The sequence below is a fragment of the Homo sapiens genome, chromosome 12 (genome assembly GCF_000001405.40).
Source record: "Homo sapiens chromosome 12, GRCh38.p14 Primary Assembly".
Classification (NCBI taxonomy): domain Eukaryota; kingdom Metazoa; phylum Chordata; class Mammalia; order Primates; family Hominidae; genus Homo; species Homo sapiens.
This window is the reverse complement of record NC_000012.12, coordinates 87,789,647-87,813,772: the sequence shown is the minus strand read 5'-3', so window position 1 is coordinate 87,813,772 and position 24,126 is coordinate 87,789,647. Positions and strand designations below refer to the sequence as shown.

At 35.6% G+C, this 24,126-nt stretch overlaps 1 long non-coding RNA gene across 1 annotated transcript in view; it reads right to left on the bottom strand.

Moving 5' to 3' along the window:
- Window positions 1-8,023: 8,023 nt before the first annotated feature.
- The window catches only part of LINC02258 (long intergenic non-protein coding RNA 2258), a 36,938-nt gene continuing 20,835 nt past the window's right edge, over window positions 8,024-24,126 (bottom strand). The window contains exons 3-4 of the long non-coding RNA NR_149056.1: window positions 17,885-18,038; window positions 8,024-8,065 (exon numbers count right to left, since the gene is read on the bottom strand). This is a non-coding gene — a long non-coding RNA (long intergenic non-protein coding RNA 2258). The remainder of the gene's footprint in view (window positions 8,066-17,884; window positions 18,039-24,126) is intronic.

Sequence of the window (24,126 nt, the reverse complement as noted above, 5' to 3'; positions counted from 1 at the left end):
TTTATCTTATCCCCATGGCTTCCTAAAACTATTTCACCCTGGTGCCTACCAGCCTTTTGCAATTTTTAACTTTTTGCCAGCCTAAATGTTTCCCAATCAACAGTACAGTGTCTGTCTTCTTCCTGCACCCTTTGGCTCTGACTTTGTTGTATCTCTTCCTAGGTCTATGTTTGCTTTGACCTTGGCATTTATGAAATATTTGACTCTTGGCTGTGATCTGATTATCTTATTTCTCTTCTGTGGTTCTTCCTTTGACTTTTCTAGGAGTTTTTCAGATCTGATGACCTGTTTGTCTCTGTTCTCCGCTGATTTTTACAGTGCTGGCACTACAGGATAATTACCATTGTTAAATAAGGGTTTGTCTTGGGACTTGTGGTACCCAGAAATTATGATCGGATATATTAAATTCTTACCATACTTTCCAAGAAACCCTGTGTGTTCTTTAAACCATTTGAGTTTAAAGATATAAAACTCCTCCTGGTTTATGGCCAAGCTCTATTAGTGATGGTTAATCATAATGAGAGGCTGAATAAAAACTAGAATGTTGCTTAGACTTTAAGTTAAAAAGGGAAAACAAATCTCTCCAGGTTACGAAGGGGGATTTACTTTCCTAAATGTTCTGCAGGTAGCTTAAACTAAACATGTACAGTGGGGGTAATGTTTTTAAAAAATTATTGATGTGCTTTTTATTTTGCCTTTCACAGTACAAGACCATTGTCTTAGTTTGCTTGAGGCAGCAATATGCCTGAGGAAGATTAGGATTTGTTACAGTAGAAATGCAAACAGAAAGCACCCAAACAATAAAAATGAGAAAGATAAATGAGTAAGATGAAAGAAAGGCTTCCTGGGGTTGAGGTTGGTTCTGGCGGTTTGCCTCCATAATGATAAATCAGATTGTTAGCTGTTCTCTAGAGAGGAGTTCCATTATTTTTATATTTCTCATATTTGCAAATAAATAATCCATCTTGGAGCAGTCAATTCAGAGCTCCTCTATAATTTAAAGAGCATAACTCTGCTCTCTGTGAAGTCTTGTCCCGTGGATTCTGGAAAGAAGAAAGAGACAGAGAGCATAGAATGAAAAAACTAATTATAGGTGCACATTTTCCTTTCTCTGGGCTCTGGACAAGAGATATGTGGGAAAAAAGAGAGAGAATACTAGCAAAGTCAGAGAGAGACCCCTATTTTCCATTTCGGACTTCAGAAGAAGGAAGATACTTGCAGGGGTTCTGAAAAACACTGGTGCAGAATGACTTCAAGATGTGTCAGTGTAGCCTGTTAAGGTAAAAAAGTGGTCCCAAGTGTAGCTTTTCTAAGGCACCTTTGGTTCCCTAAGGATCTTGCCAGAAGAAGGTCACTATTGATGAAATAAAGTGATTCCCAAATAAGGATTGAAGGGAGGAGCACCCCAACCCGGGCCAAATAAGGGTTGCAGGTAGACCTCTGAGGTTTCTACAGCAAGATTTGTGGTGAAGGTAGTGAGATATGAATTTCACAAGCAGCAGTGTTTGTGCCAGGCCATGGCCTTTGAGATGTGTTAGTCATAGGCTTTGAGCATCAGAGGAGAGCAAAGCAATCAGAATCCAGGAGGACAAAGGGCACTGTTGAACCACCTAGGAGTAAGAGCAAGACACCATAAGAATCAGAGGAGTCAGTGTTTCCTCTTTCTTGCCATAAAGGCAGTAAGCCATACTCCTCTCCCAGAAGCAGGGATTAATCATGTGAACATATTTTATCCAAGAGATACTGGATTCAAACTAATTTTTAAACTGTTTTGCACATGTAATTATTCCCAAGAATGGATGGGGCTCTGGAGAAAGGCCAGTTTACAGAAAAAATACAAAAGTCACTTTTTCTCCATAGTCTCAGATTCCAGTATGAGTGCCCATGATTTCATCATATATTGCCTTTTACCCCCATCCTCCTTCATCACTGTCTCTAGCACTGACGTACTCTCTGTTATTAAGGATCGACATCCAGAATCATCTTTGATTCCATTTCTCCTTTTCTTTCAACATCAAAGTTGTCAACTTTTGAAGGCCTTACATTTTTTATGTTCCTTTGGTTTTTTCCTTTTTAAAATTTCAACAGCTTCTAATTGGTCTGCTTTCTTCTTGAACCTTTCTCTTCCAATCATTTCTGTACATGACATCGAGATTAATCTTCTCAAATGAGGATCCTGATTTTATTACCCACTTTTCAAAACATTCATGGTTTATCATCATGTATTCAATTATAAGAAAATGTCTCAATCCTGTATAATGATTCTTCCAAAATATGACTACATCTTGCTTTTCCTGCTTTATCCTCCCTTTATCACTATGAATATTTGGAGGGAAAGTCTAAGTGGAGTACTTCTTAAGCAGGGTGCTGCAGGCTTTTAAGTGCTGGTCTGTTAGCTGGTGCTGTTCCTTTGTCTGGGATGTGATTTCTGCCTTACCTTCTCTTGTCTTAAAATTTCCTTGGGGATAAATCTACTCTAAACCTCATAGCGCTCGATCCTCATTAATGTTTATGAGGATAGGGGTTTGGAAATCTTTGTTAAGTGCAATTCACAATGTGATTATGGTATAGAGTTCACTTTGATGACAAGTAAGCAAAGAGATCCAAGAGAAACTGGTGGTTATCCTTTGCAGACAAATGAGAAAGTTTCACAGGAAACAGGAAAAAGATGTTAACAGAATGAGAATAAAATAAAAATAAGTTCTGAAGATCTCTCCTGTGATTCTAGAGAGGGCCCTTGGGTGCGGGGCTAGAAATTTAGACTCTACATGACAGTTAGGAGGCAGCCAAAATTTGCCATAAGCCAGTAATGTCTGGAATGGGGATGGAAGAACAGGATGTGCTGGCACCAGGAAGTAGGCCATAGAGAAGATTGCAGTTCACATGAAAAGAAGGAGGTTGACTTAATTGGTACAACTTTTCTCATCTTCAGATATTTCAAGCAAATGACTTGTTCACAAGACCAGCCATCTGCTATTGTAGAAATGAAGAAAAGGAGGTTTTTTTTACTTTTCTCTGTAAGCCACTGATCACATGATAAATAATTTTTGTTGTTGTTGTTGTTGTTGTTTTTGGTGCAGCTTATCACTGTATTTCTGTGCTATCAAAATAATGTAATTTAAGTGACTCAAAGATAGGATACAGTTGTTGCATATCCGGAGCATCTAAAAATCAGGTAGCTTCTTGATTTGAAACCAGATTGGAGTTTTATAGGGAAAGGAGAAGAGATGGGCATGTGTCCTTATGGTTTGGCTCAGGTTAACAGTTTTTGTCTTTAATTCCTGCAAAACTTTCAGCTGAAGTTTAGTCTCATTTTTATGCCTCTTGCTCGGAATTGTTAGTGCAATCCCATCTTAGTAAATGTAAGGAGAGTACTTTCTGAGAACTGTTTTTGTAAGGCTTATGGTTGTTCACTTGGTCAAAGTTCACAATGTGGGGTAGTAGACAAAGATCAAAGGCCAGAAGGAAACAGAGGACCCTCTATTATGTTTGTTTTAATCCATTTATAGTACTAGCAGGACTTTTAACTTGTGTATGTGAAAGAATGTCTACTACTTTTTGATTAGAATACATGGGCCCTGTTAAACAATAATAAACAACATGAGATGATTCATAATGCAGTAAGACGAAAAATTTCATCTTGGTCAATGGAATTCTCTTAAGAGAAATTATCAGCATTTCTTGAGAAAATATACTTTGTTTAGTCTATGAAGGTGGAATGTAAGACCCCAAATACATGCTCAAGAAAAAAATACTATTGCTAAACTCTTGTGCAGTAGACATAGAAGCGAACTTTCAGGCTCTTGAGAAGGGGCAAGAGGAAATAAGGATAACAGAATGAAAAGAAGGTCAGAGAGAGGGAAACATCTAGGCTGGGCTCTGAGTGAGGGAAGGGCCAATATAATTCATGATGGCAGAATGTTTGGGAAGAAAATTTTACATACATAAAGACTGATATTAATTTTTAGGTTCTTTACTGTAGAGGAGAGGATGTAAATGCCCTCCTCTGAGTCTTTTATGGAATCATCAGTAAACTAATCATTAATTTTACTTATGCAAGAATATATCCTTTCAGGAACACTCAAAGAAGTATTGAATTGTAAGCCAAAGTCAACACAAATGTAGTGCAAGCTGCTATAGGAATTAGAGAATAAGAAGATATCTGACATCTGGGGCACAATACATTTTTAATCTGGGTATTTTTGGTTAGTAAGATAGCACATAGGGCTGACAAAAACAAATTCATTCTGAAAGTTTAAATGTAGATGCCCTTTTCTAGTTATTGGCTCCTTTTTTATTGTATGCTTTATCACTTTAAATACACGTCTTGAATTTCTCTCTCTCTCTCTCTCTCTCTCTCTCTCTCACACATCTTGGTGCCAACCAGAGAAGAATGAAGGACCATAAATATGAATTATTCATTCATTCAGTCAAAAATAAGTACAACACTTAGTAAACAATTTGTTCACCCTCCCCTGATTCTCTTAAAGCAGAAGCCATCTGACTCCTCTGCTCCCATGATACTGCATGTCTTTGATTAAAGTACTTATCTTAGTATTTTATAATAGTTTATTTCCAATTCTACCTCTCCCGTTAGATTATGAGTTTCTCAAATATTATTTATAGTTTTATTTACAATATATTATTCCTAATGCTTGACACTGAGTTCTATTGTATTTCTATATTTCCCCTAATTTGTCAGAATATTGTTATGCTACTTTCCTTCCTCAACTTTGTCATTTTCTTTGACTTTGTTCATTATTTTGTCTCTTCTCGATGGGCAATGCTCTCTCTCTTACCCCTACCTCTTCTCTTAACTGTAAGCTCCTTGAGAGGAGGGTTGTGCATTCCCACTGACCTGGGCATCCCTAGCACCTGGCCAGAATAGCTGCATTGCAGAACTAAGCTGCTGTTCAGTGGACACTCTTGTGGCCAGCGGCAGGAGCTTAGTACCTAGAACATAATACATGATACATAATAAATGCCTTTTAAACAACATAAGTTGAATGGATGGGTAAGTAAATGTTCTCTATTCCTAACCATTTCACAATGGTTAGGAATCTTGGTGCTTATAATTTACCAGACTATCTGTGGAATTGATACATTTTATTTGTTCTTTTTTTTTGACATCTGCCTTGTATTATTTATGTGTGTAATTGTGTGTATCTGTATGTGTCTGTGTGAGAGACTATATTTGTATCTTTTCTTTCTCTTTCCCACCCACATCTCACATTATAAGTTCTTTTATGAGAGGACCAATGTCTTAGTTATTTAGTTTTTAACACACTGGTATATTACATGTAAACACTAATAATTTTCAGTTAAATTATAGCTAGAAGCATTAACTTTAAATAGCAACTTAAAAATAGTTTAAAGTGGATTATTGTACTTTCAATAAGGTTAGAACATCTTTGATTGTAGGTACAATGTTTTACCCTTGTCCATGTCCTGAAGACTTTGTACCATCTTGGGCATATAACAGCACATTCAGAAATGCCTTCTGAATTATTAATTTTCATTTCCCAAGTGTATAAATTATTTTTGAGTAGTGATTTTAACACTGAAGGTTTTGACTTATTTGGCATCTGGATATGTCTGACAGATGATTTAAAGAGTCTTATAATTATAAAATATGATCGTTTATAGAGACAGAGGTACATATGGTGCACCTTTTGAAATTAAATAAAGTGCCTGAGTCTAACATCTGTGTGGAAAACATTCATCACAGCAGGTCTTCCAGAAACTATCTAATACTTTCTTTGCTTCCACTAAAAATAGTCTTTCATCATGCCTGTTCTGTAAAAGTTTACTATTTTCTTTCAGATACATGCCTTTATAAATTTGGTTTTATTTCTCAATCCTAACTGTCCTTTGTAGTCATGAGCTTATTAGGTTAAATTTATACATTGTGTGAGGATGTAGACTAAGATGCTACTATAAAGGAGTCCAAGATACAAACTTGAAGCCTAAGTTTATTCATCTCGAAGGTAACAATCCCGAAGTGAACAGTCTAGGCTGGCTGGGGTGGCTGTGCCTTCCTAGGTCATTCAGGGACCTAGTTTCACTCATTCTATTGCTCCATTATCCTCTATGATGTTCTCATCTACTTTGTCAAAGCGAGATCACCATGTCCAGCATCTAACTGCAATAACTAGGAAGAGGAAATCCAAGGCAAACATCTTTGTTTTAAAGGGGAAAATCCAGAAGGTACTCACAAAACTTCTCACATCCTATTGGCCAAACTTAGACACAATGTACTGCTTAGCTGCAAGAAAAACTGGGAAGCATAGTCTGTAAGGTGGGTGAAGAGATGGCCAGTGAAAATCCCAAAGAGTCTGTCTTTTAAAAGAAAAATTAGGCAACAAATACTGGTGAACTGTCTGACTCAGTCAGCTCCTCTGACCACTCCATAAGTACCTTCTCCCCACATGTCAGCATATGGTTTCTTTTTCAAAATCAGCTAGTCAATGTTCCTTTATCCTATTCACAAAAATTGAGGCTGTTGTGAGTGTTGCACTTTCCTCTCTGACAAGTTTGAACTTTGACCTTTGCAATCTGATAACTCATACACTAATATACAAATTCTGCATGTCCCTGACACCTAATATGCAATGGGAAGCTGGAACATAAGAACAACCGTGATAAACTCCTGTTATTAAAAATAGGAAGAATAGGAGCAGACAACTGCTTTATAGAAATGACAAAACTCTGGTATGCAATGATTTTAAGGCCCTTGTTCTTGCACTGGACTAAATTCTTCAGCTGGGCTCTTGACTTGATCTGTGAGAGGAACTCTCTGATCCATTGTCCTTTAAGTCACATGGCTCTTCCCTTTTGGGTTGGGGAAAGCTTTTATTCTTTCTGCTGCCTTTCTCTGCCACAACTAAAGTATGCATTGAGAATATGCCCTCTATAAGCACTGCTTTAGGGACAATCGTAGGTTCTTGTTGGTCAGATTTGGGGCTTCTTTGCAATGAGGTCTCCTTTTTCAAATCTCATTAAGATTCTAGCCTACTTGTGTCTAATAAAATTTATGTAAAAGTCACCACACTAAAAGATTCCTTTATTCATAGTTTTTAAGCCTGTGAGATTTTCTATTACATGCTGTTTCTGTGCTTGAGCCCTCCCTCTCACCTTCAATATAATACTGGCTAGTCTAAGGTTGTGATGGTTAATATTGAGTGTCAACTTGATTGGATTGAGGATACAGAGCAGTGATCCTGGGTGTGTTTGTGAAGGTGTTGCCAAAATAGTTTAACATTTGAGTCAGTGGGCGGGGGAAGGCAGATCCACCCTTAATCTGCTGGGCACGATCTAATCAGCCACCAACGAATATAAAGCAGGCAGAAAAACATGAAAAGGAGTGACTGGCCTAGCTTCCCAGGCTACATCTTTCTACTGCGCTGTGCTGGATGCTTCCTGTCCTTGAACATCAGACTCTAAGTTCTTCAGTTCTGGGACTTGGACTGGCTCTCCTCACTCCTCAGCTTGCAGACAGTCTATTGTGGGACCTTGTGATCTTGTAAGTTAATACTTAATAAACTCCCATATAAATATATATCTATTTCTGTCCTTCTAGAGAACCCTGACTAATACAGAGGTCATCTAAAAATACAGACTTTAACTAGGAAGTTAATCTGAACTTCGAACCTAGTTTGCTCTCATTATTTGACTAAAAATTCTTACTGGGAGGATTTTAAGAAAGGCTCTGAAGGATAGACTTAGCTTCTGCTATTTCAAGCACAAAAGCAGTTGATTTTTCTAGTCCTGTGAAGCCACACATCTCTCAGTCAAAGTAGATGAAATGCTGCATACAGAAAAGGTGTCCATAAAGGAAGCCCTGTTTCCTTCAATCTCTTCTTGCAAGCTGGCCTTTTTTACCCTGAAGCTGAGCTCTTTTTTACCCTGAAGCTGAGCTTTTTTTACCCTGAAGGACTTTTCTAAAAAAAGCAGGGAGCCATAAACACTCACCAATATCCTGAGTTTTCCAATCAGTTTTCTAGAACAGTAAGATCAGCATAGATGTTGCTGGAGTTCCAATTTCTCACAGGTCACATTTCTTTTCCTATTGATTTTGTGGAATAAATAGGTTATTAGTGTCTCACAATTTAATATCTGTTTCTTCCTCTTCATCCACCTAATTGTTAAGCCAATGACAAATATTTTGAGTATTTATTATTGAGGTATCTCACATCTCTGATCAAATTTTTATATTAGGTAGGCTATAAGATAAATCTTTATAACAAATGAACCAAAAATAATTATTTTACATGAAATTGAAGGCTGTTTCCTCATATTTTCACAAAAGGAGAGAGATCAAGACCAGTAGAATAGGTCTACTTCAGAGAGTCATTCATGGATCCATGTTTAGAATAGGATAATATTCTGCTTGATGTTCCATCATTATGTAGGGTATGATCCTCTTCCACATGGATTGGAGGCGGGAGAAAGGAAGTTCAGAATAACTTCATCTTCAAGGCAGTGACACTGTACTTGCACATGTCTTTTGCGATCACATCCTCTTTGACCTAAACTTAATCCCTTGGCCACACATGTCTGCTAGGAAGGATGAAAAGTCAAATCTGTAGTTTAGTTGTGTATCCTAATTCCATGTAAGCTAAAATAAGGTGTTTTTTTGTTGTTGTTGTTTTTTGTTTTTGTTTTTGTTTTAAAAAACCACAACAAAACAAAGAAGAAAGAAAAGAAGGAAAGATTGAATTTGTGAGGACAGCTAGCGACATAAAAGATTAATTTACAAAGAACGTTTAATTGTATTCAGTTTCAAAACAGTTTGTTGCCTACAACTAAGGATAGATTTTATCCTGTGTTTCAAGAAGCATTAATAACAATTATCTCTTGGTGTTTACTAAGTGTAGGCCATAGAAAATTTTCCCATTCTCTTGGAATGTCATCAACAACATAATCAAGAGGAGGAGTCTTAAAATTTGGAGGACATAGCTCCATCATGGCAATAAGCAAACACTTGTTTTTTCCTGGTAATTTTTAAAATTATTCAAGTTGAAAGTAATACAATATCTGTTAACTGATTTTGATTTTTTTCTTTAAGCAATTTATTTGGGTCACTGTATTTTTTTATACTACTCTTTAATATATTCTCTACAGAATTCTTAATTGCCTGCAAAAATGATTAACAGTAGGCTCCCCTGCTGTTCAACTCAGTCATTCATGACTTCACCAGATGGTTTGTTTTTTTGGGCCAATGGTTTTTCCTTTTGATTTTTTTTTCATATTGTTTCCCCTCCCCTGGATACAGTCAAGATCTGAAATATGATGCTCAGTTTTAATTTTATGACTAAAATATAAAATATTATGCAGATAAATATTTTATTTTCGTTATACTTAAGGCTAATGGCTAGAGTGTTGGCTATTGTGGGCAAGGCAATTTGAAAGTATACTTGTTTTCTTCAATTACGTTCTTCACATAGTCCCTTGTCATTGTTCTCTAGTAATTCAAGTGCCATTAGTTTTTGCCACCTTTTGCAATCTTCCCTTTGGTTACCCTATTACTTTTATGGATTCATTTTATTTAACACTTTTCTTTAATATGTTATTCAAAGTCCTGCTGAGGAAAACTCATTAGCTGTTACTCACCTAATTGTTTTTAGCTTGTATAAATAGTACCTAGATTAAGATGCAGTTAAACAAAGAAAAACAGAGATATATAAATGCCTGAAAGATTTTCGTGTTTTAATCAAGTTATGTCAATCTATCTGACAAAGTATTTATGAAATTTCAACTCTTTCATTGGTCATGTAACATTTTCAGAGGCAATGTTTCTTAGTAAAAATAATATTTTTAATAATTTGCTGTATAAATGATTGGCTTCTAAAACTGGTAAAACTTTCAAAGATCTTCCACTATGTTAGCTTATAAAAGTAATTAACCTCAAGTCATTTGCTCTACATTTTTTGATATTACTGACTTCTAAAAGGTGAGGTTTGACTATGTATTTACATTTTTTTGATATTAAAAACAAGTTTGAAACGTGGTAAAAGAATATTTTTAATTATTTGTTTTTTTCTTAAAAATGTGGCAATTTAGCTTCAGAAGTAATGAAATCACTGAGTTAACTGTCATTTTACAGATAGAGCATCTGAGATTCACATAATTTAGATAACTTGTCCAGGCTTACACTTTCAGCTGGGGGAAGTGCAGAAAATTTCATAGTACCTGCTTATCCAGTACCCATCCAATGTTATTTATTTGTAAGGCTACCATAATACAGTACCAGAGACTGGGTAGCTTAATCAATAGTAAGTCATTTTCTCACAATTCTGGAAGCTAAGAGTCTGAGATCAAGGGCACAGCAATATTATTTCTTTATAGCCCTCTTTCTTTTGCTTGTAAATGGCCACCTTCTCCGTGTGTCCTCACATAGTCTTCCCTCTGTGCCTGCTTCTGTGGTTTAATCTCCTCTTCTTATAAGGACAGCAGTAATATTGGATTGGAATCTATGCCCAATGAGCTCATTTAAGCTTAATTGCCTCTTCAAAGACCCCATCTTCAAATGCAGTCACATTTTGAGGTACACATTCTGACATTAGGACTTCCACATATAAATTTGGGAATAGGGTAGACACAATTCAGCCTGTAATAGGGACATTGGCCTGTCTTTGAGCCAGGAGCTCTCCAGAGGAAGAAAATATCTGGTGGTCAGCATAAATGCTTTCCAGCCTTTCTGGTGTGTTGGAAACCAGAAAAGTGAAAAGTAAGCCTTCTCTAAATCAGTTTTTAATTTTTATACAATGACCCTGAATTTGCCCCAAATATTTGCAGAAAATAGTTACAGGAATGCAAAAGAAACAAAAACAATAACTTTGAATGAAAGAACTAACATTTTCCTAAAGGAAACCAGTATTAGAAAAGGGAATTCTATGCAGAGATCATGTTAACCATGTTGGCCAAAGCATGAACAGTATCCAGCATAGAGTAAGCCCTCAACAAATATTTGCTCACTGACTATGTCACTGGATCAATGAAGATATGAAGATCTTCAAAACTATTTATTCCCCTAAAACTCGCTACATAGTGAGTTTGCGGTAGAGTGCTTCTAACCTGCCTCTTACCCAATAAATGAATAGCCCCAATAGGCATTTACATGAGATCTAAGTGTACTGAATCTCAGTACTGTCTCAGAATGCTCAGTTATAAGTAGTATAGCACCCTTCATTTTTTTTCCCATTTAATCTACAATGGTTACAAAATGCATCTCACAATATAATGTCAATAGATAGACATTTCAGCACAGAGCTCCAATTACTCTGGACTACTTCAAAGCTTACTCATTAATTTCAAAATCAAAAGGTTTTATAACTTTTGAGTTTCTCAAAATCGGCACTATTGACATTGCAACTGGATAATTCTTTGTTGTGAGGCACTGCCTGGGTATTGTAAGATGTTTGGCAGCTTTCCTGGACTTTACCCTCTAAAAGTTAGTGGCACTCCTCCAGTCATAACAAGCAAAAATGTTTCCAGAAATGGCCAAATCTCTTATGGGCAAAATCACTCTTGGTTGAGAACCATTGCTTTATTTTGAATATCTAGACCATGCTCTTTATGTATATTTATAATTATTAAATTATCAATAAGTTAGATTATGGGAAGGTCACGTAAGTGTGCATCTATATAAAAGAATCACTTTTCCTGTCCTTATGTAAACCAGTTTTGCTGACACAAAGGTTTCACTTTCTTTTTTTCTGACACTTTATTATTCACTGAAAAATAGTCTAATTACAGTCTTCTTCTCTCAGTCATAGTTCTAATTATTAGTCACATTGACCTTTCTGTTAAATAAAAAGAAACAAACTACATCATAAGCCATAAAAGCAATGACATTAAACGCTAGCTGCAAAGAAATACATTAATTATGTACTCCTAAATTAGAATGAAATATCTTCCCAAGTCCTGTATTTGAATATGTTTGAGAGAGTCTCTTTAGAAGACTTCTTTATTTTTAATGGAGCAGACAGCAGGCGTTCATGACCACAAAGTTCTCTTTGTGAAAAAATTAAATAAAACTTTATTTACTGATTAATGAAAAGAGTTCTGTGGAGTTGGCAGGCAATCTCAAATGCTTTCCAAATTTTTAAATCTGTAAAAGTCAAATTAGCCATCATTTTGTGGAGTGTGGTTGACAATGAAGACAATTTTCTGCAAACACTCATCAAGACTGAGTTCTGTTAGAGAGCATGTGAACTGGAGAGGCTGCAACTCAGCCAGAGTCTCTGTAGTTTCATATTTAAATATTTTTGATGTGTCGTATCCAATTTCAGTATTTCCTTCATGTAAAAGCTCTGATGTAGGCTCTGTTCCTTTTCTTTGCTGGCTTTACAGCCAAATAATTTCTGTGTAATAAAATAAACTATTACCTTATTTTAAAATCAATTTTCAGAAACTTCTCTAGACTCCTTCTAGGAATTGTCTCTGACTAAATATGAGTAATGTGCACACTGGCCCTTCTATAGTTGTAATGCATTCCTTATTTAATAGCTTTCATTGTAAAAATATATACATTTTCAGTTAGTTGTTTTCAGTATGAGCTTTTAAGATTTGAGTTTAAAATAGTACTGATTGAAAAAATAAATTTTTATTTAAGAAACGTAGGCTAATTAAGAGATCCAGAGGGAAATTTGACTATGAAAATACAGCAAGATAAAGACTTTGAGTTTAAAGTCTGGAAGGCTTGTGAAGGACATGCTAATGAACCAATTCTCACAGCATTCCAGTGTTGATGTAGTTTGAAAGAACATAGAACACATGGTGGTTCCAAACAGAGTCATTCTCTACTGTAGATGAAATTAATTCAGGTCATTGGTTCCCAGTGTTTTCAAGAAGAAGGCATCACTTTTGGTTTTTTGGGTTTTTTTTTTTTGAGACAGAGTCTCACTCAGTCACTCAGGCTGGAGTGCAGTGGCATGATCTTGGTTCACCTCAACCTCCTGCTCCTGGGTTCAAGTGATTCTCCTAGCTCAGCCTAGCTGGGATTACACCATGCCTGGCTAATTTTTTATAGTTTTAGTAGAGACGGGGGTTTCGCCATGTTGGCCAGCCTGGTCTTGAATTCCTGACCTCAAGTGATCCACCCACTTTGGCCTCCCAAATTGCTGGGATTACAGGCATGAGCCACTGCGCCTGGCCAAGGCATCTTGAAGTAATGATAAAATATATTCATTGTCTCATTTCATTTATTCATACATTCAGCAATGTGTATTTATTAACTATAATAAGTAAGTCCTTTTGTAGGCTTGGGAATATAGCAAACAAAAAAAGTCCCTGACCACGTGGCATTTACAAAAGAAAAAGTGAATAAACAAAAATAAATTTTAAAAACATATTATGCAATATGGCAATCAGTGCTATGTAAAAAGTAAAGTAAGATAAGAGAGACAGGGAGTTCTTGGGTGTGTGGTGGTTAAGGAAGGCAACTCTTAGGTCTGTTTCCTAGAAGTACAGCCTAGGATGGACATTCATATTCAAAAGGTTTATTTGAGGAAAAGGACTATGGGCACAAGGGAAGTGAGGCAAACAGGAGAGAGCTGGGTGGAAGATCAGCAAGAACGTGGGATTGGCTGGAGACTTTCAGGTAAACCACAGGAAATTCTGGAGCAGCAATAGTACTACAGAATCCGTCCCTTCTTGAAGTAGCCTCTGGGCTTTTGGTAGCCTGTGTCAGCTGGTTGCTTGCTGAGGTGGTGTGGCATGACCTAGAGGGAAGGCACCTTCTTTTGGCTGAGATCAATGGTCTGGATAAATGAGGGTCAGGTGTAAGTTTTGTTCAGTCAACACCAACAGCAGCTGAGGATGGTGCTGCAGTCTGTCAAAGGGGTCTAGATGAGATTCCAACAGTATTTTCTTGTACATTTGAGAAGGTAATGAGAATGTGAGGGAGAAAGATAGCTAAATATCTTTGAGAAGAACATTCTAGAGAGAACAGTGATTGCAAGAGACTGAAACTTACTTAGCTTGAGGAACTGCATTATGTCCAATATGACTAGAATCATGTGAACAAGAGAAAGAACAGAAGGAGATGAGGAATGCAGGAAAAAGAAGAAATCTTGTGGGAACTTGCAGGTTATAAAATGAAATGGGAAGTCAGTTGAGTTTTCTGAGTGGAATGCATGATTTGGATTTATTTTTAATATATTTACTTTGGCTGCCATGGGAAGAATTAGATTATAAGAAACACAAATATAAACAGGAAAATTAATACTTGCCATTTTTGTACCCTTTTGTTGAACAACTACATGCTATCAAAAAGCTATAGTGAATTTATTAATGCTTTAACATGGTCTTCCATGTGACAATTACAATTGCATTCATATAGATTTTGTAAGTACTGTGTATAGGCAGGGGTTATATTCAAAATATTCAGTGGACTGAATAAAGAAAATGTGATACATATACACCATGAAATACTGTGCAGCCACAAAAAAGAATGAAATCATTTCCTTGGCAGCAACATGGATGGAGCTAGAGGCCATTATCCTTAGCAAACTAACACGGAAACAGAGAAGCAAATACAGGATGTTCTCACTTATAAGTGGAAGCTAAACATTGGGTAGTCATGGACATAAACATGGCAACAGCAGACACTGGGGCCTACTTGAGGGTACAGGGTAAGAGGAGGGTGAGGATTGAAAAACTACCAATCAGGTACTATGTTCATTACCTGGGTAACATAATTCTCTATACATCAAACCCCTGTGACATGCAATTTACTTACATAACAAATCTGCACATTTACCCTCTGAACCTAAAATAAAAGTTGGAAAGAGAAAAAAAAAACGAAAGTGTTTAGCAAACAATATTCCAATAAGTCATTATGGAAGCTGATATTCAGCCCCAAATGTAGACAAGATACAATATTTATTCAGTCTACAGACATTGCTTGCTACACAGATTGTAAGCCTCTTATGATATAACCCTTTTGCTTCTTAAGTGTTCAAGCTTCAATACAAGATGATAATTTTTCATCTATTCTGAGAAAAAGAAAGAAACTCACTTGGACCAAATGGGGTGGTATTCAATGATGAAATGTAGAACTTAAGGAAAATACCAGATATAGGATAGATAGGAAGGTCTTAATTTGGAAAACAAAGGATTTTGTAAGCCAGCAGGTAGGGGTCTATAAGCTGAAACCTGAAAGTTGAGCTTAAGGGCATTTCTCCCCTAGGTATCTTTATTAAACATTGCATTTATCCTGTAGACTGAATCACTTTTTGATGTTATTCTGTCTCCCTTGTAGATTTCATTCTCTCTAAAGCAAGCACCAAATCTCTTTTATTTATTGTATATTCAGAGTCTACCACAGAGCCTGGCACTGTATAGGTGTATAAGTTTGAACACACAAGTGCTGTAACAACAGGATACCTAATTTGATAATGGGACTCACTATGTGAAAAGTGGTTATGGTTCAAAGACAAAGAGATGTACTCTGGGTCAAATCAGGAAAGGAACTTCCTTCTCTCTAAAATAGCAACAGCTTTGCCTAGGATTGGTGAATCAAATCAAGTGAGCCTCACTAGACATATGCTAATTTCAAGAGTTACATGGGTAGCCCCTTGCCACTGGATGTTTATATGAAAGTGAAATTAACTTCTGTCATTATATTTTTAGATCTTTTTGTAATAGAAGCTTAGATTATACCCTAACAAAGGTATCAACCATGAACTGATGTCCTGTAAAACTGTCCTGAATCCTAACATTTGCTCTGGATCCCAGACATGTATCCAATTGCCTATTCAACATTGTTACTTGAATGTCTGCTAATAAGAACGATTGATTAACTCTGTTCTTTGAATGCATTCTTCTTTGTTTTTTCCTTTTCAGTATACAGCACCCTCCTTCACTCAATCAGCCATGGAAGAAAAGGTGTAATTTCTTATTTATTTCATTTACCCACTTCTAATTCATCAATAAATGATTTTGAATCAGTATACAAAATAGACACCCAGCCTGATTGTTCTTGCCAATCCTACCTCCGAATCCTAATTCAAGCTATCCTTCTCGTGTGCCCAGATAATCATCTAACTGACCTACCTTTTTCCACTCTTGTCTTAGAGTCTATTCTCCACAAAATTGCCAGGGTAATCTTTTAAAAGTGAAGCTCAGTTTGTATCAGTTGTCCTCTAAAAGCTGTTAAAATTCTTCTGTCATTATACTTAGCACAAAATCTTAATCATAGCTTCATTTTTTTTTTGATATTTCACTAATTTCACCTTCAGCTACTTTCTCCGTTGCTGATTTCATTCTGGTGACAATTCCCTTCCTTTCTACATAAGAAATCAAATCTTGTTTCTGCCATGAAGGCTTTGGACTTAGAAATGCAATGAGTATTTAACCAGGGCTTTACTTGGTAGAATTTAGCCAAGCAGTTTGAAATCTTGATCATCAGCCTCTCATCTTCTCCACACTCCATTGCCAAAGTCTTTGTCAAAATGCCAAAGTGTTGATAAAAGATTGTGCTTGTAATTCTTGTTATGGTACAATTTCTCCTTAATCCTGAATTTCTTAGAATAAGTACATGAATAAATGAGAGAATGAGTGAACAAAGTGCAGTACCTAATATGTGTCAAGCATTGTGCTTGGCACTTTAAAAAATTTGAAACATTTCAAGCATTTGAACGTTTTATGTGATTCCAGTGGCATTTTCTGTGAAAGTTGTCATGCCATTTAAAATGTTTTCAAATATGAATCATGTTACAAAATTCATAATTTTATATGTCATATATAAAGAGAAAGAAAAAAGGTTTATAATGTATTTTAAGCAATGTGTTACTATATAATACTAACAACTATAATGGTAGTTAATAAGTCTTGGAAAAGGTCAAAGAAATATTTGATTTCTGATGCAACTTTGACTAAAATATTTAAGTTAGAAATAAAAACATTCTTATTTTGCTATGTCACGTTAATTACAAAATTAAAAATCGATGTTTTATGGAAAAACAAGACTATACTTGCACTCCTCACTGCCTTCAATCTTTTTCCTCCGTAGTGTTGCATTTCTCACTCTCTAATTTTAATTAGATTTCTACTTTGATAATGCCTTTTCCTGGTAGTCTTTCTTGTGCACCCTATATACATTAGTGTGTGTGTATATGCACACACACACACACACACACACACATACATTTCATTGTTCTCCATTCTCTTTCCTTGCTTTATTTCTTCATACTATTAAGAGATTTTGTATGGTGTATTGTGTATTTATTTGTTTAATGTCGTTTTCTTCTGATGAAAAGAAAAGTTCTCTGAGCAAATGATTTTGATTCTCCTTTTTAGAGTCTTATCCTTAGAGCACAGACAACTGCTTGATAGTTTTCAGGCTCTAAGCTGTTTGCAGGTGCCATTAGCTATTTCAGGCTGAAAACTTCATAGATTCTTTCAGTGCTCCAGCCTGGGGAACAACAGCCTGGTTTGTTTTCAGGGGTGGTCCCATCCTTTGAGATTCTTACTTCTTTTCAACCGGTGTATGTGTGTGTGTGTATGAGCATACTGTCTGTGAGTGTGTGTGTGTGTAGGTGTGTATATTAGGTTTAGGTTGCTATTTCCTACAGCTATATCTACAATCTATTCAGAAACATGTATCGTTACTTAATATTCTCTAAAATATGCAAATTTTTTCCATGCTTCTAATCCTTAAATAATGCAAACCATTGGTAAAAGAAGAATCATACTTCACTGTGCATTTTAATACACAGTAGCTGTGTCTACTGCTCCATTTCAATCACTTAAAAGAAAGACTTAGGGAAGCTGAGTTAACAAATGTTTAAAGGATAGAGCTTATGGGGAACCATATTAAGCACACTGTGTTACAGAAATTGCTAGGGCTAGTTTTCCTAACACTGTATCATTTACTTACGGTAATTGAGGATGGACAGGAATGAGGATAGACTGGAATGGGATAACGACAACATATATTGGTTCCAAATGACTTGAGTGTTTCAAACAATTTTAGATTAGTTCAGTCTCTTTATTACTTCCAGAGGCATTTGGCATTCTTTTCAGTGAAGAGCCTAGAGAAGCAAATAAAGTAGTTACAATGGAATCTACAAAAATGTGCATGATACCATCATCAAACATTTTTCTTTTTTTACATTGTTTTTTATTGCTAGAGGGACAGTATAATTAATAATGTACTCTATTATACATTCTTGGGAAGTAGAGTATATATGGTTTTATTTAGGAGATATTTATAAATATCTTATTTGAAATGTGTAGATTTTTTCAATTCACTTACAGAGATTAAGGTGGTGTTTTTAAAAATCACATTAATTGTACAAGGGATGCTAGAAATATTTTACAAAGAATAATTATTATTTTCTTTAACAGAAATATACAATTACAGAAGAAATGCTCTGCCTTTGGAAACTCTATTAGACAAAGGACAGAGAGAGTTTAATGGTGTCCTTTGTTGTTGTTTGTAATGTAATCTATTTTTATTTATTTATTTTGCAACAGCTTTGTTGGGATAAATTCACATACTATACAATTCACCCACTTAAAAAGTGTACAATTCAATGATGCTTAGTATAGTCACAAAGATGCACAACTATGACCTCAGTCAATTTTTTTTTGTGTGTGTGTGTGGAGATAGGGTCTCACTCTGCTGTTGCTTAGGCCAGTCTCTGGTCTCAGCCTTCTGACTAGCTGCAATTAAAGGCACGAGTCACCATGTCCAGCACACTCAATCAATTTTAAAACAACTTTATCCACCCCCAAAAGAAAATCTTTAGTACTAACCTTTTAACAGTCAGTTGGATTACTCCCAACTACCCTAGTCCTTCCTTAGCAACCACTAATCCACTTTCTGTCTCTGTAGCTTTGCCTGTTGTAGACATTTATATACATGGAATCAAGAAATATGTAGGCTTTTATGACATCATTCTTTCACATAGCATAATGTTTTCAAGGTTTTTCCACATTGTACTATGAATCAGTACTTTGTTTCTTTTTATTGCCAAATAATATTCCATTGTGTTGATGTACCCATTTTATTTACCTGTTCAACATTTGATGGGGCATTTGGCTTCTTCCCATTTTTCAATTATTATGAAGAATTCTGCCATGAATATTCATTTATAGCGTTTCGTGTGGACTATTTTCATTTATCTTCAGCATATAGCAAGGATTGTGATTGTTGGGTCATGTGGTAATTCTCTGTGATGCTAATTATGTTGAGAAAATTTTCACGTGCTTGTTGGCCTATTTTATTTCATTTTCACTTGTCTGCATTGCAATATGATTTTCCCTATTACTATTTTGATCTTTCCATCTTTTTGCAATCCTGAGAACCACATATTTAAATTTGTTAGAAGTGTGTATAAACCAAAATGAGTGTGTGCTCATATGTATGGCTATGTATGGTTTATTGCATAGATTAGGTCAGATATATATGACCTGCCTGTATAGCATTTTCATTTATTTTCTAGTTCTTAACTGTTTCCTGATACTATTTGAATGGTATGACTTAATTATAGATTTGACAAATTTATCAATAATATATTTATGTAAACATAAAACAACTTATCTTTGGATTTTATCTACCTATATATGTTTCTGATAGCAAAACAGTAACTCTAAGAGGGAAGTAATTTTAAAATGATAAAGATAATCCTAAATATTAGAGAAATAGAATTATATTTATTTTAAAAGAGTTGGCTGAATCAACTTAATACTCCCTTTGAGTTATTTTAACTTGATTTTGGCAATTAAATTTTATACTGAATGAAAAAATGATTCAAACTAATAGATTCACAAGGGCAGTAACTGCTGTTTTTCTATGTGATATTTAATTATAGCCAATATCAGGAGCTTGGAGGAGGTACATTAATTTTTAACTAGAGATACTTTTAATGACTCTATGTTGTCATTTTCTAAAGAGAATATGTGAGGTAGTTCAGCCTGTTAGCAACAAATATATTTCTCGAATATGTACATATTTGAGGTTTGCTTTTTGCCATTTAAATGGATTTGTTAACAAAGTTATAATGAGAGAATTTCATTCATCAGTTTTGATTGATTTAATTCAAGTCTTTAAAAAAAATTTTTTGGGGGTTCAATACAAGGACTATATTCATATGTTAGTTTTTGTGTTAGTTTTATTTGTTTATTCTTTTAGCGATGAGGGTCAACTCCTGTGTCTTCCACTGTACTATGGGACATATGGCCGAGGCTTCAGAATTCTCTCAGACATCTCACTCATTAACCAAAAAAGGAAAATACCACAAAGAAAATTTTATGGCAGAAACTGAAATTGTAATAAATTTCTCTCTGAGGACTCCCAGTGTAACTGACAAGTTTTGTGCCAGGGGTCCTTTAGGAACAAGAGATTTTACTTGATTTCTTTCACTGCTGGCCTGCAGAGGCTGCCAAAACTGTGTACAATTCTCAGACGCTTGATGACTAGCACAGCTGCAATCCTGTGTCATAGGCTCCCAAATCAAGAAATTAAACACTGTAGCCTTACGAAGGCTATCTCATGTCTCATTTATTCATGTAGTATGGTGGCTGTTCTTGGTAAGAGGTTAAAAAAATACACATAGTTTAGAGTGTGCACTATCTATATCCAACCTGAATATGTCTGCTATGTGATTTACCAAGATTAATTTGTTTCTCAGTTATTTCAAGTTAAGAGACAATTTCTGCACAGTGACTGTTTGCCATGACTGATATTCACTCATAGTTACTCCTTTTTATATAGCTTTTTTTTTTTATCAGAGAATGGGGGAAGCATACCCATGGGACTGAAACACCTTTGATTTTGAGAGGGTGATCATTGTTGGGCAACAATTCTCCATGGGTTGCTTGAGTTTCTGCATGTCTTGTGAAGATGCCTTGAAGACTTTTGCTCTGAACTATTTTTTTTTTGCAAGGAGATTGATATAGCAAATAGCTTCAGAAGACAGAGATACTGTCTCCCTCTGGAGTAGAAGGCTGAATTTTTCCCTAGCCAAGATAGTAAAGACAATATTTTTCTCTGGGTAAAAGATTGGGCAGATATGCTAGCAGACCCTTTCAAAAATTAGGGGTTTTGAACCATAGGGTTCTTTAGCAGTTACATGAACCTAGAGAACGTGTACACCCATTTGAACTACTCCCCATTATCCCCATGAAACTTACAGGGCGAAGGATCACAATGTAAACATGAAACCAATGCTGCCTGCTGTGCTGTGCTGTGAGTAGTAAAGTCCTATGCCTCTGATCCAGGAGTCTCATGTCTTATACCAGCATCTAAATGACTGTGGCAAATGAATTTGTTAGCTTGCAAGTAGGATAAAATCTCCTGTCCTTCACAGTTCTTGAAAATCATGTGAACATTGAGGCTTTATGCAGGCTTTCTCCAAAGGGATTCTGTGGGAGAATTAAACCCTATTGCCCCAATGCACTTATTATATGTCATGAACTCTCTTTTCTCCTATGCATGTGGTATGGTGGTATGTGAAACTGGAAAACTGAGAAAATAGCCAATCAAATAATCTCCAACTGAGCTAATTTTCTCATGGAATCCAGTTTAAGAAGGTCATGTATTACCAAAGGTAAATGTTTAGCTTCACAACTTGTCTGACTAATTGGCACAATAAACATCCTTTTCAAGTATAAGATTAGGAATAGATCTTCAGATGGTAATAAGAAATATAAAAAATTCCCCCTTTTCAAAAGAGCAAATATGTTATTTAATGTCAATATCAGTGATCTGAGGAAGCAATTCTCATGAGATCTCAAGTCCCTGACCGTCTGACTTTGGTAAAGGCAATATGGAGGGACAATGCTTGGAGTTAGTTTAACTCCTAGCTGACCTGGTGGGAGGGTACCCAGGTGAGGAAACTGAGCAAACTGGTCTTTGTTTGCAGACACAATTACAAGGACTCTTGGGGACCATTGTGTGTCCTTGCCCTTTTCCCTCCCTGTTAAGGAAGAATAAACAACACCAGTATCACTGCAGAAGCTAAGGGAATTCAAAGCAGCCTCAAGAAGCTGAGAAACTGACATTTCTAAGAAGAAAAATAATCCTGTATTCCCTATAGTAGACAGTAATGTCTATAAAATGGATCTCTCCCACCATACCGTAAACCAAATATTAGCTGCTAGATCACAGTTGGTTGTGGATTTGAAAAAAGTTTCCTCACCCCAGTATGGGAAAAAAAGAAAAGCCACTAGGTATACACTTTTTTCACTTGCCTTCACATTACTTTGATAGTCTACAGTGAAGTTCTACTCACACAAAATAATTTCATCCTTAATGAGTTGGTTTGGACACCTTTGCAGAATTTGTAGAGTCTTTAGATTTAAAAAAAGTGACACAGATGTTAGGCCTTTGAAGAAAAGGATGAGAGTATAGCTTATAAAGCAGAGAATTAATAACCTTTGGCTTCTCAAGCTTTGCCTGAAAGCCATTTGCTCTTTTCTTCGGAAGATCCTAATAAGCAGAGAAAAGATGCTTCATGCAAAACCTGCTCTATCAGCTTCTGTCCATTTTTATTCTTCTGGCTCTTTGCTTTGTTTCTCTCTCTTTTTGCTGGAGCCTTTTCTTGTTTTCAAGATCCCCTTCAGGCTGACCTGCTTCTTCTTGTCCAAGTCTTAGGCTTCCAGATTTCTAGGAAATCTACTTGTTCTCTGTATTTCTTTGCCAGCCTAACTCTTTGATACTTCCTTAGTAGAGACTAGAGATACTGATTCATAAAATGTTTTGACTTTACTGTTTGCTTTATGAATCTATTAGCATACCTCTTTCTTTGCCTTTGGTTATTGCCAATGGCTGGCCTAATACTATTTAATCATTTTAGGAATTCTATGGCTTTTAAAAACTTACATGTTTTCCTACTTACACTTTTCAAAAATAACTTAAAATTGAAAATTAAAAATTAAGCTTAAGCTTTGGCAACTCTTCTATGTGATTTCTAGAAGCTTCCTTGCTAGGTGAATTTTGATATACTATTGCAGTCATAAATCACGAGGTTTTAGTAAAATATACATACTTTTAAAAGAGGAAACATTATGTAATAGATACCACATATTCTGTGTTGTGATTCATTTTATTATTTAAATATAGAGAAGAAAAAATTATCTCAAGGACTTCTTGAAAATATTTTAAGTCTTCTTTTTTATACTTGGTCTCCTATTTTAGAGACCCACCTAACCTTACTGGGTCTCAAAGTCTTCGTCTGCCAAGTAATTTACTCATGGTATTATTCTTATTGCTAACTAAGAGGGTACATATAAATAAATAGCTTTTGACAGAAGTATGATGTTCAGAGTAAAGGAGACATTATTTTGAATTAACAAAAATGTATCTTATTTTCTTCTTCATCAAAAAAGCTCTCACAAATAATGTATTAAGTTGGCTAGAATCTTTAATTTAATTTGGGCAAATAAATTTTTTAGGAAAATATGAGCACTAGGAATGCTGATGCTTACAGAGAAAAGTTTACATACTTCTTAAAATATTTTGTTTTTCTTCATATTTAATTCAATCACTTATTAGACTGTAACGTCCCTGAGAGTAGAAGATATTTCTTCAGTGATGTGTCTTCATATAGCACTTTGGGAAATTTGCATGGAGTTCTCTAAATACAGAATAAACTCAAGGCATTATAGCGCTGTTAGGAAATCAATAATATCAATGAACTTTATTATGAAAAATTATGTAGACTAAATGGGCATATATTTATGCCCCTTCAGATTGACAATAGCAGACATCTACTTAAATTGCATTACATAAAATACATAAATATCTTAAAGAGCTCTGTCACAACCTGAAAGGCAAGATGGTTTGTTGACCTGATGAGGGACTGGGACAATTTACTGGAAGTCCTAGAGTAACTAAGGCAAGTATTTTCTTCTGGGGCTTTCTTTCAGAGGCTGTATGATCTCCTATGTTTGATTCTCTGTGTGTCTATAGGCCAATTTTCTCTGCTTTTCTGTATAAAGGAAAAATGTGACCTCTTCATAGGTGTCAAGTTTACATGCTTTCAGTTAGAATTGGCAGTAGGAGATAAGCAGTGTTTAGGACTAGAATTCACATTTGGAGATAAGAACCTCATTTGCCTCATTTGTGTCAAATGTCCTCCTTAAGTACACACAGCTGAGGCTAAGATAATTGGA